The sequence below is a fragment of the Homo sapiens genome, chromosome 8, assembly GCF_000001405.40.
Source record: "Homo sapiens chromosome 8, GRCh38.p14 Primary Assembly".
Lineage (NCBI taxonomy): Eukaryota > Metazoa > Chordata > Mammalia > Primates > Hominidae > Homo > Homo sapiens.
Window position 1 is genome coordinate 66,561,680 of NC_000008.11, and position 14,049 is coordinate 66,575,728.

General features: G+C 35.9%; 1 protein-coding gene across 10 annotated transcripts in view; it reads right to left on the minus strand.

Moving 5' to 3' along the window:
* Positions 1 to 495: 495 nt before the first annotated feature.
* The window catches only part of MYBL1 (MYB proto-oncogene like 1), a 51,044-nt gene continuing 37,490 nt past the window's right edge, over positions 496 to 14,049 (minus strand). For 5 of the 10 annotated variants that reach the window (NM_001294282.2, NM_001144755.3, XM_011517535.4 and 2 more), the window contains exons 11-15: positions 11,685 to 11,827; positions 10,803 to 10,917; positions 5,197 to 5,313; positions 5,005 to 5,109; positions 496 to 3,146 (exon numbers count right to left, since the gene is read on the minus strand). In NM_001294282.2, the coding sequence (NP_001281211.1) occupies positions 3,018 to 3,146; positions 5,005 to 5,109; positions 5,197 to 5,313; positions 10,803 to 10,917; positions 11,685 to 11,827 (609 nt within the window). In that variant the 3' untranslated portion in view covers positions 496 to 3,017. The other 5 variants (NM_001080416.4, XM_011517533.4, XM_017013455.2 and 2 more) reach the window with 2 other exon arrangements.

Consider the following 14,049-nt stretch of genomic DNA (forward strand, 5'->3'; position numbering starts at 1 on the left):
TGATGAATTTACCGAGGTAATAGAATACCAAACAGCCCTGCCTGGATGACCAGTGTGCCTTTCCCAGATGACACCCTTATGCCACTGCTCAATTTCTTGACATTTCTATAGAATGGAGACAGAGGCCATATGCAGGCTGAGAATTCACAGCTGACTTCAATGTGGAGGTGGGTGATTACTCAGTGGGTAAATGAAGGGAAGGCAATACCACTAAGTGACAGAACAAAGGGCAGGTCAAAGTTGGGAAAAAGAGGAAATCTGCTTTGAACATATGTTTAAGGCGCCAACAGGAAGTGTCATGTGAAAGTATCTGAAAGACAGCTGGAAATCTGGTTTTAAATGAGGCTCTATAAAGGCGCAATGTTGTATTTATTGGTAAAATCACCGTAAAGAGAGTTCTAAATGAGAAAAAAGGCCTAAGAACAGAATGTTAAGTCTCTAAGGATTCTATCAGTCCTTATAAAGCACAAAACCAAGTGAATGAGCAATGCCAAGTCAGCTTGTACACAGATGCTTTATTTTGGATGTTAATATGTCAACATTGTATGCAAGATTCTCTTACAATGAAGTTTTCCATATATCACAAAACTCAATTTAGTCAGGGTAATTGCTGTATTAATGTGAAAACCTTACAATAAAATGCAGTATTATGTATGTGTAGTCAGTTTCCATGCAAGTATGGCTGCTACATGTTATGTCTGGCATTTGTATAACATACTGAAAGAAACTCAGAGGAACAAAACAGTATAAAGGTGACTTAAGATGCCTGACATGTTTAAGATAAAAAATCTTGCAAAAAGCAACAAAGCAGTTAACTGAAGGATTCAACCAGTACCAACCCAAATATGTATTATGTCCAATAAGCCCAGACTTATCCACAATATATTACCATTTAGGATAATTTAATGCTCAAGAAAAAATATGCTTTAAAAAATATAGCCTTACAAGATATTATACTTTGGTGATTGCAGACTATGTATATCCAGGTAAGGGCTACATTAAAAACAACAACAACAAAAAACCATTATGTGCTATTAGTTCAAGGTAACTGAAATGATCCAGTATGAGTTTGCTACAATCATTGGTTTCACTAAGTGAAATTTCTGTGAGAAGTTCATTAATTAGAAAGCAATCAACATACTTAAACATGCTAAGAGGATTCAAATTGGTTTATCTATTTATCAATAAGGCATAATCTTAGTACCATACATTTTCTTCACTTCTCACTATATATATATATAAATATATATATATATAAAATATGCAAAAACTAGCAAGTAGATTTAAATAGCTTAAAACCCTTTTAGGTCTACTGTTCAAGAGCTAAGCATTAAAATACTTAGTATTTCCATTTCTATTAACATACAAACAGAGCAGAAAATCTTAACCTGCTTTCATTTTGTTTTATAAGGCATAGTAGTATTTTGGTATTTGCAAGAATTTGCCTGGTAATGGTTGATTCCATTTAGTTAACTTGAGAACTTGCCATCATTTGTTTTTTATCTTTTCACACAGTGCAAGTGGTGGTCGCTCTTTCCTTCTCTCGTAGCAGCAAGCCGATTCTGCTATTTTCTATAGCAGCATACTTCAGGAGTGGAGAGGGAGAGAGTGTGTCAATTATAAATAATTCAAACTACAGTGTACAATTCTATTTACCTGTCAGTGTTTAAGTTGACAGCACACCATTATATGACTGAAAAAAAATTACATATAATCTCTACCACAAAAGCAAATAAAAATTCTTTCAAGAAGAAATAAAATAAGTGCAAACACCTAAAACAGGCAACTGAAGCAACTGTTGTAACCTGTAGAGAAACACAAAACATTTAAAAAAGGACAAAATATTTTTATAAATAAAAGATAATGTTCTCCACTTCTGAAACACTGAGTAAATATAAACTTCTAAGTGCAGACTGTTTTTAGGGACCAAGGTACCATATTATTTTTTAAACAAAATGCAAAAATTTCAAACACATATACAAATCACCAGATTAATGTATATGACCACCCCCGATATAATTTAAAAAGAAAATATTAAATTATTATTTAGTACATTTTTAGAACTACTTTATAACCAGCATGATTTAAAGGGCATAGTGCAACATTTAGGTAGATGTGACATACAGTATAGATATTGTATTCTTTGCAGCTATAACTTACTACTGTTTCATACTTAAAGTCAAAATTATTCTTTACTGTGTTAGCTGTAATAACAGGAAACAACATTGGCTTCTAGGCACCCTGTATACGTATAAATATCTACATTTAAGCTTTAAAAATAAAAATAAATTATAAAAACAGACTTCTTTCCAATTTACAAAGTTCTCCTGCTCCTACATACTGTACAATACATTCAACAAAACTCTCAGCTCCTCTGAGATTAAGAAAATACTATTTACTAATAAAGAAAAAACTCTTTTTTGAATGCTTTTTGTTTTCAGTACTATGCTCAAATAAATACATTTAACACTGTAGTTAATTTTACTGCTTCTGAAAAAAAAAACAAAAAATTAGTAGTGCAACTTTCTATCCTTCCTTTAAATTCCTTTTCAATGTGTTTCTTTGTAAATGGTAGCCTAAGTAAATCAGCACATGGGCAAAAGTACTTCATAAAATCATGTGTGCTTTCCATACATAGACTAATTTCAGAAATCATATATACTCATACACCTATCTATAACAAAACTGCAGCATCAAGAGAGTAGCAACATATATCTTGTGAAGAAAATATATGAGAATTTACTTTTAGAAATCCATGAACATTCTATTATTTTCCCATCTTGTTCTTTAAAAACAATTTTTAAAAATCTCATCTCTTAAAAAATAAACTATGAAACTATCTACCCCTTAAGTGACTTACTAGCTTTCTGCCTACTATATAGAATAGAAAAAAGATGCTGTATTAAAAGGGCTATCTTACAACTTTAAAAACAACTAATTGAGAAAAATTTCACTGCAACCTAATTTAGTAGAGACTGCAGTAAGGGAGTGGGGCATTTCATCAATTTTAATAACAATTACAGTATGAGAGCTCTTGAAGTACTACTGGTAGCTGTGTAAGTACTCAGATATCTTCTTGCTTGTTCAGTCATAATAAGTTGGTCTTCTGTCTTCCCATAAACCACTGTTTCCCATTCACAATTTGACTAGAAAGGAAATATTAATAGTGACATGAAAATTATTAAAATAGCTATCTATATCACAATTAGACTCTTAAAGTCAGTTATTTTAACTGATTAGATATTTTATAAACAATAATTATAAAAATGTTTTAACAATGGCACTGTATTTTTTTAATAATAATGTTTTAAAATATATACTGAAATATTTTTTATCAAGTTTTTAAAAAGTCAATTATTTTAGCTATCTATATTGCTTACAGGCCTATGGAGGCAGTTTAAAAGTCTTGTCCCCAATAATTCCCCCCAAATCAAATGAGTCTTAACATGGAAATAAATGTTAGTCTTTATTGCTTCAAAATTTTGCAAAAGATTTAAAGAGAGGATGTAATGTCAAAAAATGAGCCAAGAATGCTTTATTTACAAATTAGGAAATATATTCATAACAAAAAATCAAGCTTATGTTTTTTTCCTTCCCTTATTTTAAAGATTACTATGTTATAGATGTGATCTTCTATATAATAACTTTCCCCAAAAGTTCTATGTTAATTAAACGCCAGGAACTCAAATCATTTTACATGGATTAAGAGAATGTGCTACATGGCTCTTAGAAAGCAGTGGCTGAAAACAGATGTAAGGTGGTCATATGTAATTGCCAAAGACGTTTTCAAGGTATGCTTCAATATCAGGAATACTAGTGCTGCAGTCACTGTGGCATAAAGAAGAAAATTTCCTACTCAATGAACTCTCAAATTCTCTGGGGTAAACTCTTAATGCAGTAAAAATTTTTCCAACCTTCATTTGCAGTTACACACTGGTCGTATCCCAACAGAAAAAAAAAAGGACTTTGTTTTACAACTTCTGAGCCAAAAAGTTCACTGGAAACCATGGTACCAACAAAATCATGCTGAAACTGCTTCCAACCACTTACCCTTTTTCAGAATAGCAATTAGGGCTATACATATTTGTTACAGGAGAAGAGGTGCCAGAAGTAGATTTATATATCTTTAGTTTAAAAAAGATACAGTGCTTAGGAAATCACCAGACCAGTCTTTGGTTACAGCTTCAATTGTTTAGTTTATATGTGCCCTGATGAATGAGTCGCTCAAACCCAAATGTGAGTGATAAAATAATGGTAAATGTTTAGTTACTGTTACAATCAATTTTGAATTTAAAAGAAAAAGTATAATTTGTGATCAGTAAATCCAAAGTGATCATTGACTAAACAAAAACAAAAATCACTAAAGAAATTTATAAATCCATACCTGAAGATTCTTTTCCAATTTGACAACTTTGGAAGTGTTAGGGTTTGGTTTCTTTTTAGTAAGTGTATATGTTTTGTTGGTTGAATTTATATCTTGTTTTTCAGGAATCAAGTTGCACCTATTGTCATGTATTTCCAATAATGGTATCATTAATAAGGATGTAGTAAATCTATTTTCTGACTAAGAGAGAAAAAAGAAAGAGGAAAATAACTAATTCAAAAATGGAGACAAATGGAGGGACTACTGAGTAAGTGGTAATGGAAGCCCTGTTTATTTCCCTCCAAGAAAGCATTTGGCTCTGATGAAATTTCTAGTAATGTAGTAATATTATTTTGGAAATGAACCAAAGATAAACTTTGATATTTAAAATCTTGAGAACTACGATTTTTTGACATCAGATATAAGGCAGCTAACTCCTCTCATAACAAAAGAAATATAAAAAAAAGTAAATAAAATATTCTCTACAGTGAATAGTTTCTCTGTGAATTAGGCAAAATGATACTAAGATAAAAATTCTCCATGAATTTCTAATGAACTGGCTACACAATGAGTAAGAAATAAGAACCTCTAGGACTTAAAGCAACCATTTAAAATAACAACAATAATAATCCTTTACAAACCTGCATGTCTGAAATGTCTTCAGTCAACAGTTGAGTGCCTGATTCTTCTTTTTCCCAATTATCTAAGACTAGTGATTTTCTGACTTTCTTCCCAGAAGCGGTATTCTAGAATGAGTAATTTATGTAGAAGCTTTATGGCAAAGTCTCTTGGATACAATAAGACTTTTATTAACAATAATACTAGAAGATTACCTCTTGTTTGCAGCTTTTGTAAGCAGGTTCATCTTCCTCTTTGAGGAATAGGTCTGTTCCAGTTTCTTCTTTTAAAACTTCCCGAATATCTTCTTCCAAGAAAGCAAGTGGCTGGGACTAAATTGTTTTTTAAAATGTTGTAAAAAGTCATTTATAGCAATTCCTTTTTCTCCCTATATATAGGAAACCCATCTTTTATACTTGTCCATTATTGTCATAATTTTCTCCTAGCCCCTATAGATACATTAATTAAATTAATTCATGTTGTGGCAAAACAATATTATACATTTGCAAGTACTGAGTAAAGAATAGCAATTTCTTCTTTCTAGGCTACTAAACAAAAATCTTCCTTTTGGGGAAACCACTGTAGCTCCTGCTTCAGGTCAGGATCTTCAGAATTAAACAGAAAAGAAAGATGTTATTTCTCAAGTTTTTTTTACATAAAAACAGGAAATATAGAACATATTGGGAATACACTAGCTCTTATTCTACTTTTATTGTACTTATTACATAGTATGTAATTACTAGTTAACACGTTTGTTACCACCAAGATTGTGAGATACTTGAGAGCAATGGTCAGGTCATTTTCATCTTTGTATACCTAGCCTAAGCAAAGAGCTGACACAGTATCCAAGAAGACAGAGAGAGTGAGTGTGTGTGTGTGTGTGTGTGTGTGTAGTGTGGGAGGGTAGGTTACAGAGAGATAGACACTTGAGTGTCAGCTGAGTGATGAAATAGTCTCAAAATATTATTCATCTAGCTTTCTGTCAAATAGGTAAGCACAACTTATAACCCAGAAAAAATTTAAAAATTATATCTAACTTATACCTTTCATAACCAAGATATACTTGAAAAGGTAATAAAACCTCTACTAAATAAAAGAACTGGCAGCACTTAATAACCAGCAGCTGCTGGGCATGGTGGCTCATGCCTGTAATCCCACTTTGGGAGGCTGAGGCGGGTGGATCATGAAGTCAAGAGATCATGATCATCCTGGCCAACATGGTGAAACCCCATCTCTACTAAAAACACAAAAATTAGCCGGGGGTGGTGGTGTGCACCCCGGGAGGCTGAGGCATGAGAATTGCTTGAACCCAGGAGGCAGAAGTTGCAGTGAGCCGAAATCACGCCACTGGACTCCAGCCTGGGCAACAGAGCCAGACTCCGTCTCAAAAAAAAAAAAAAAACAACAACAACAAAACAAAAAACAAAAAAACACCAGCAGCTTATGTCCCCAGCCAGCAAAGTTAGAGAGAATGGTATTCATATATAAATGAGATTTCACAGCACTTACAAAAACTTTTAAGATGAAAACAAATGTTAAAAGTATTCTCATCTAGACTGAGACATACAGGAATTATGTTAGTGTTTCCGTATACTTCTCAAAGAGCTTATTATTATTATTTACTTATTTATTTATTGAGATGGAATCTTGCTCTGTCACCCAGGCTGGAGTGTAGTAGCATAATCTCAGTTCACTGCAACCTCCACAACCCCCACCCTCTGGTTCAACCGATTCTCCTGCCTCAGCCTCCCGAGTAGCTGGGATCAACCGAGTAGCTAGCACAACCTGCCACAACGCCTGGCTAATTTTTTGTATTTTTACTAGAGACGGGGTTTCACCATGTTGGCCAAGCTGGTCTCAAACTCCTGACCTCAGGAGGTGATTTGCCCACCTCAGCCTCCCAAAGTGCTGGGATCACAGGTGTGAGCCACCACCCCCGGTCTCAAAGAGCTTTTTAATGATGGTATTTCACCAAGAACATAAAGTATTCTTTTTTCAAATTAACTTTTAAGTTCAGGGGTCCAAGTGCATGTTTGTTACATAAGTAAACATGGGGGGTTGTTGTATAGGTTATTTCATCACCCAGCCGGGCGCAGTGGCTCATGCCTGTAATCCCAGCACTTTGGGAGACCGAGGCGGGCAGATCACGAGGTCAGGAGTTCAAGACCATCCTGGCTAACATGGTGAAACCCCGTCTCTACTAAAAATACAAAAATTAGCCAGGGTGGTGGTGGGCACCTGTAATCCCAGCTACTTGGGAAGCTGAGGCAGGAGAATCGCTTGAAACTAGAAGGCAGAGGTTGCAGTGAGCCGAGATCGCGCCACTACACTCTAGCCTGGGCAACAAGGGTGAAACTCCATCTCAAAAAAAGAAAAAAGATTATTTCATCACCCAAGTATTAAGCCTAGTACCCATTAGTTATTTTTCCTGATCCTCTCTCTTCCCACCTTCCACTCTCTGAAAGGCCCCAGTGTGTGCTGTTCCTCTCTATACGTCCACATGTTCCCATCATTTAGCTCCCATTTATAAATGAGAACATGCAGTATTTGGTTTTCTGTTTCTGTGTTGGTTTGCTGAGGATAATGGCTTCCAGCTCTATCCATGTCCTTGCAAAGGACATGACCTCATTCTTTTTTATGGCTGCATAGTATTCTATGGTGCATACGTACCGCATTTTCTTTTTTTTTTTTTTCCTTAATTTTTTTTGAGGTGGGGTCTCACTCTGTCACCCAGGCTAGAGTGCAGTGGTATAATATCAGCTCACTGCAACCTCTACCTCCCAGGGTCAAGCGATCCTCCCACTTCAGTCTCCCAAGTAGCTAGAGCCACAGGTGCACACCACCATGCCCAGTTCATTTTTTGTATTTTCAGTAGAGATGGGGTTTCACCATGTTGCCCAGGCTGGTCTTGAATTCCTGAGCTCAAATGATCTGCCTGTCTTGATCTCCCAAAGTGCTGGAATTACAGGTATGAGCCACTGCATCCAGCCCACATTTTCTTGATCTAGTCTAGTATTCTTAAAAAGATCTGGAGGTTTTTCTCCCTTTAAGAATACAAATGTCCTAGAATAGGGCTAAGACAGATTAATTCATTCACTAGCAAGAATTATTCTCTTAATTGTTCTAATGTGTCAAAAGCAAAGAACTCCTGCATTTAATACTTTTCAGGTTTGATACTACCAAACTTAATATTTCTACAGTTTTTAGCCTTTTGAGTAATTTATAGTAAATATTAAAAGAATCGGTTTATTAAAAGGGCAACAGATATTTAAGATATACCTGATTAAAATTCCAAAGCCAATCTCCAAGAAGTGCATTTGACTCATAGTAAGATACAAAAGAAAGCTAAGTGGTTAGCATATAGTAGATGCTCAGTAAATAACTGGAGGAGGAGCAGGAGAAATGAAAAGTCAGCTTACTGCAAAGAGATGTATGAGCCTATAGATATTCTAGGAATTTTAATTTATAAATCATTGCCTTCCTTTTATCTTAAATTGCTGATGCAAATAATCTATTTTGGCAATGGTCAAATTCTATCCAAAGAGCTGTGAGTGCTGCTGGTATTAAATTTAAAATGTCAGAAGGCTAGTAAACAAATGGACAAGGACTTTAGGTATTTGAAACCTATTACAAATATACTTTTGTTTTTGTCTTTTTTTTTTTTTTTCAAACAGAGCTGCACTCTGTCCTTTAGGCTGGAGTGCAGTGGCTTCATCACCACTCACTGTAGCCTCCACTTCCCAGGCTCAAACAAACCTCCTAGGACTACTACAAGAGCATACTACCACACCCAGCTATCAAATTATAATTTTTATTCCACTTATATGTTCACCAAATGACCCTGACTCACTGCAGAATTTTTAAATGCTTTCAAATCATTGTTTACTTGTCTAATCCCCAATTAGTCTACATGACCCTATGAAGGCAGGAACCATACTTGACCTTTTCAACATTCTTTCCATCCCTAAAGCCTAGTACAGTGCCTGGAACCTATTAGGCACTCAATCAATATTTGCTGAATTAATGATGAATTTTTAAAATAAACAGCAAAACACTGAAACAGCCTAAATCAATCAGGTAATTCCATACAATGGAATATTATGCAAACGTTAAAAATTATGGGATAAATATATACATTTACTTGGTTAAATTAAAAAAGTGTTATAAAATAATAAAGTGTGGTCATACTCTTGTTTTATTAATGTATACGCATAAATAAAAACTCTAGGAAGCTCTAAAGGAAATATGATTGTTCACAGCAGTACATGGAGCTAAATGACAAAAAGACTTGATCAACCCTACTACGTACCCTTTAACACAGTATTTTGAAAAAAAGACTAGAAGATGTGCGTGTGTAACATGCTTTTGGGCAGAAAATTAATTAAATCAAGTAAACTAGAATTTGTTAATGAATCTAACCAAAAAGTGACTAAAAATAGAAGAACATAACTAAAAAACCCTGGAAGTTACCAATATTTTAAAAATCGTATTTCTAAAGAACTTGTCAGAAATCTGTATCTGCCTAAAATGCCCATCACTGTTCCAAGGTATTTCAAAGGTGGTAAGATATATGAAAGCACAGTAACTAGAACACTTCCCAGTCCTATTCATTCGTGAACTACTACCACAAATACTATTATTAGAATAATAGCAGCAACCAAGCACACAGTACTTGAAACTCAGACAAGCCCCTTTAATTACATCATCTCTTTCAGCTTCACAATAACAATTTGGGGTGTGTTTTATGATCTCCTTTGCATAGAAAAGGAAACTGAGCCTTTTCCTAATTAGTTTCCTAAAGAGGTACCCTGATTAGTTTCCTAAATATTATCATGAAAGTGCTTCAGTATATCAAAATATTAAAATTATTTTATTCTAATACATGTAACCATGACTGAAACTACTAAAATGTATATTTCAGTATTAAGAAAAGTGTTCCGACAGGGCGCAGTGGCTCACTCCTGTAATCCCAGCACTTTGGGAGGCCGAAGGTGGGTGGATCACGAGGTCAGGAGATCGAGACCATCCTGGCCAACATGGTGAAACCCCATTTCTACTAAAAATACAAAAATTAGCTGGGCGTGGTGGCGCAAGCCTGTAGTCCAAGCTACTCAGGAGGCTGGGGGAGAATCACCTGAACCCAGGAGGCGGAGGTTGCAGTGAGCCAAGAATGAGCCACTGCACTCCATCCTGGTGACAGAGCAAGACTGCGTCTCAAAAAAAAAAAAAAGGAAAAAGGAAAAGAGTTCCACTGACACCTGATGTTTTCTCTAGATGCTATAAAGTTAAGAATTCAAAACAAGCCAAGCAAGGGTTTATTTACAAGTTAAAGAAAAAGGTGAACACAAATTCAAACTTGAAAATTAGGCCAGGTGTGGTGGCTCACGCTTGTAATCCTAGCACTTTGGGAGGCCGAGGTGGGGGGGAGGGGGGTGGATCACCTGAGGTCAGGAGTTCAAGACCAGGCTGGCCAATGTGGTGAAACCCCATCTCTACTAAAAATACAAAAATTAGCTGGGTGTGGTGGCGGGCACCTGTAATACCAGCTACTAAGGAGGCTGAGGCATGAGGATCACTTGAACCCAGGGGGTGGAGGTTACAGTGAGCTGAGATCGCGCCACTTCACTCTAGCCTGGGCGACAAAGTAAGACTCCGTCTCAAAAAAAAAACAAAAAAAAAACCTTGAAAATCAAAAGATAAAGCTTTGTATCTGTTTCAGTAAATATCTTTTTTTAAATGTTAAAAATCAAAGTGATAAAAATCATAATTTGTGTTTTATTAAAATTAGGAAAATTATTAAAAATAAAATGAATATACATACCACAATTTTAAGAGGTCCATATTTTTTCTCCTGAGCAGCAAGCGCATTCTTAAAAGGAGTAGGAGTTCTTGGTGTGGTACCCAGTATAGATCTTCTAATAGTAGGTGTTCTAAACCTATCCAGTCATTTAGATATTTATGTTATAGTCACGATCTGATTTCATACAAGTTAATGAAAGCAAAGCAATTTAAGCACACGCTAAATTTTCTTACACATATATATATGCTTCATTTAAACATTCTAAGACTATTTTAAAGTATGCCCACCTATGGTAATTCTGATTTCAATCAATCATCTTAAAATAGAAAAAAAGAATTAATATAGAAAAAAGTACTAGAAATGTTTGAAAAAGTACTAGAAATGATTGAAATCAAAGTTTGACACTATATTTCAGTTGGTTTTCACTGTCCTAAGGAGAAAACATAAGGTTATGATTTAAAAAAAAAATTCTGGCCGGCCACAGTGGCTCACACCTATAATCCCAGCACTTTGGGAGGCTGAGATGGGCAGATCACCTGAGGTCAGAAGTCCAAGACCAGCCTGGCCAACATAGTGAAACCCCATCTCTACTACATACACAATATTAACCAGGCATGGTGGCACATGCCTGTAATCCCAGCTACTCGGGTGGCTGAGGCAGGAGAATCACTTGAACCCGGGAGGCAGAGGTTGCAGTGAGCCGAGATCTCACCATTGCATTCCAGCCTGGGCAACGAGAGCAAAATTCCATCTCAAACAAACAAAACAAAACAAAACAAAAAAAATTCTAAGTCCTGTAGGAATAGGAATTATGATACTTGCTATTTATATGCACAAAAAGCTAATCTACTTTAACACTGTGCTCCCCATTTTCTCTAACACAATTATTTAATACCTACTTACCCTACATTTTCCTTTTGATCTTTGGGAGTTGTTTCCTTATGAAGAGGAGTTGTAATGAGAGCTTTCTGCCCACAAATAGGGGTTGATGTAAATGAAGGATTTTCTATATTAAGTTGTTCATTACCAGGACATGTGTTGAAAAACTAGAAAGGGAAGAGAGTTTAAAGACGACTTCTAGAACATCAAAATCCCTACACAAATATTAAACTGATAAGATTTTCAAATTATTTCTTCATACCTCTTAAAAAAAGCTTATGAATAATATTACACTTATACTCCATGGAAATTATGCTCCATGAGGGTAGGAATTTTTGTCTGGTTTGTTCATTTTTGTCTCCCCAGCTCTTAGAACAGTGTTTAGCACATATAGGAATTCAAGAAACATTTAACAAATATTCAAAAGTTACAAAAAAAATACTAAAAATTTAAAAAACAGTATATTATCAAATAGAGATCTATAGAAACCATAAACAGCTGCTGTGTTAAATGTAACAGTTTTGTACAACAGTGTGTAACTGAAAAAACAAGTTTTTTAGCTCTTATTAATAAATGACCTTAAGTGGCTTTTTCTATGAGAGTATTTTAATTTAGAATATAATAATAATGCTTTGCTGATAAGAAATACAGCTGTCTGGCAAATTTGCCTATCTAGAACACAGAACAGAACCTCTAAGCAGTCAAAACTGGCATAACAGAGTCCATTTTCTAAATTATATAATTTACAATTGTGAAATACTAATTTATTTTTGCAGTCAAAAGATTAGAAACAGTGATATGAAGCCATAGAAATGGCTTCAAAGCTACTTATAACTAGAATGAAGTCTAGCTCTGTCACTTCTGGCTCTGAATACTTGAATTTATTTTACCCTAAGATTAGTAATCAAACCCTCTTTTACACGATAAAATCCAAGCAGTTTGCCATGGGAAATAAGCATCTTTCAGCCACTTCTACCTTAGAATTCACACTTCAACAAAAATTGCTAGCATGCAAAACTCCAGAATAGAAAACTGCTAGTATGCCCAAGCCTACTTCACTTTCTCCAGTGCTTTTTAACTCTGAGAGCAGGGCTGGGAGTGAACAGACTATTCACATTGTAGTCTACAGAAATGGCATCCCCTGAAGCATGGGTGCACAATTTTTAGAGATCTGTGTTCTGCCAGATCCTGCTTATCTCCCCAGCCTCAAAATATACCTCCAATAATATCCCAGCATTCTCCATGTTTGTTTGACCATTAAACTCCCTTCTTCCTCCTTAAACTTTGTAGCCTCTGCCAAACACTTTCAGAAAACATCAGCTTCATCTCTTACTAACTGTTGCCTTTGACAAGTGGCTCAACTTCAGAATTTTATTCCACCTAACTCCTTTTGAAAGAGCATTAACTGAGATGCTATAAGAAGATTGTTTGGAGGCTGGGAGCAGTGGCTCACGCCTGTAATCCCAGCACTTTGGGAGGCCGAGGCGGGCAGATCACCTAAGGTTGGGAGTTCAAGACCAGCCTGACCAACATGGAGAAACTCTGTCTTTACTAAAAATACAAAATTAGCCGGGCGTGGTGGCACATGCCTGTAATCCCAGCTACTCGGGAGGCTGAGCCAGGAGAATCACTTGAACCCGGGAGGCGGAGGTTGCGGTGAGCCGAGATGGTGCCATTGCACCCCAGCCTGGGCAACAAGAGCAAAACTCCATCTCAAAGAAAAAAAAAAAAGCGTTTGGCAAACAGCCTGGAGCATAGCAAGTGTTCAATAGGAAACTGTCCTAACATAAACATCTACTGTCCAGGGATATTACAAGAGGAGAAAGTAAGTAGGTAGTTCTAGACATCCTTAGGAAACCTCTTGACACATTAAATTCTTACAGTAAGCAATTATCTAAGTTTCTTCCAAAGAACATTAAAAGGAAAAACCTCAGTGGGCAAACTAAACAAATTACTCTAAATAGGTAAGGCCACTTTAATCTTTATCAGGTATATCTATCGAACAGTAGTCAGTCAGGAAACCGGATCTTAGTCTCAGCCTTGCATTAGATAACTTTGGGCAAATCAATGTTACCTTTCCGGGCTTGTTTTCTGATGAGTTCTATAAAGATATGGGACTACAAGATAAAGAAAATGTCCCTCTAAAAACTGTAGTATAATATCATGTAGAACCGGGAGCAGTGGCTCACGCCTGTAATCCCAACACTTTGGGAGCCAAGGCAGGTGGATTACTTGAGCTCAGGAGTTCAAGACCAGCTTGGGCAACATGGTAAAACCCCATCTCTACAAAAAATACAAAAATTAGCTAGGTGTGGTGGCACGCATCTATAGTCCAGGCTACTTGGGGGGCTGAGGCGGGAAGATCACTTGAGCCTCGGTGGTTGAGGTT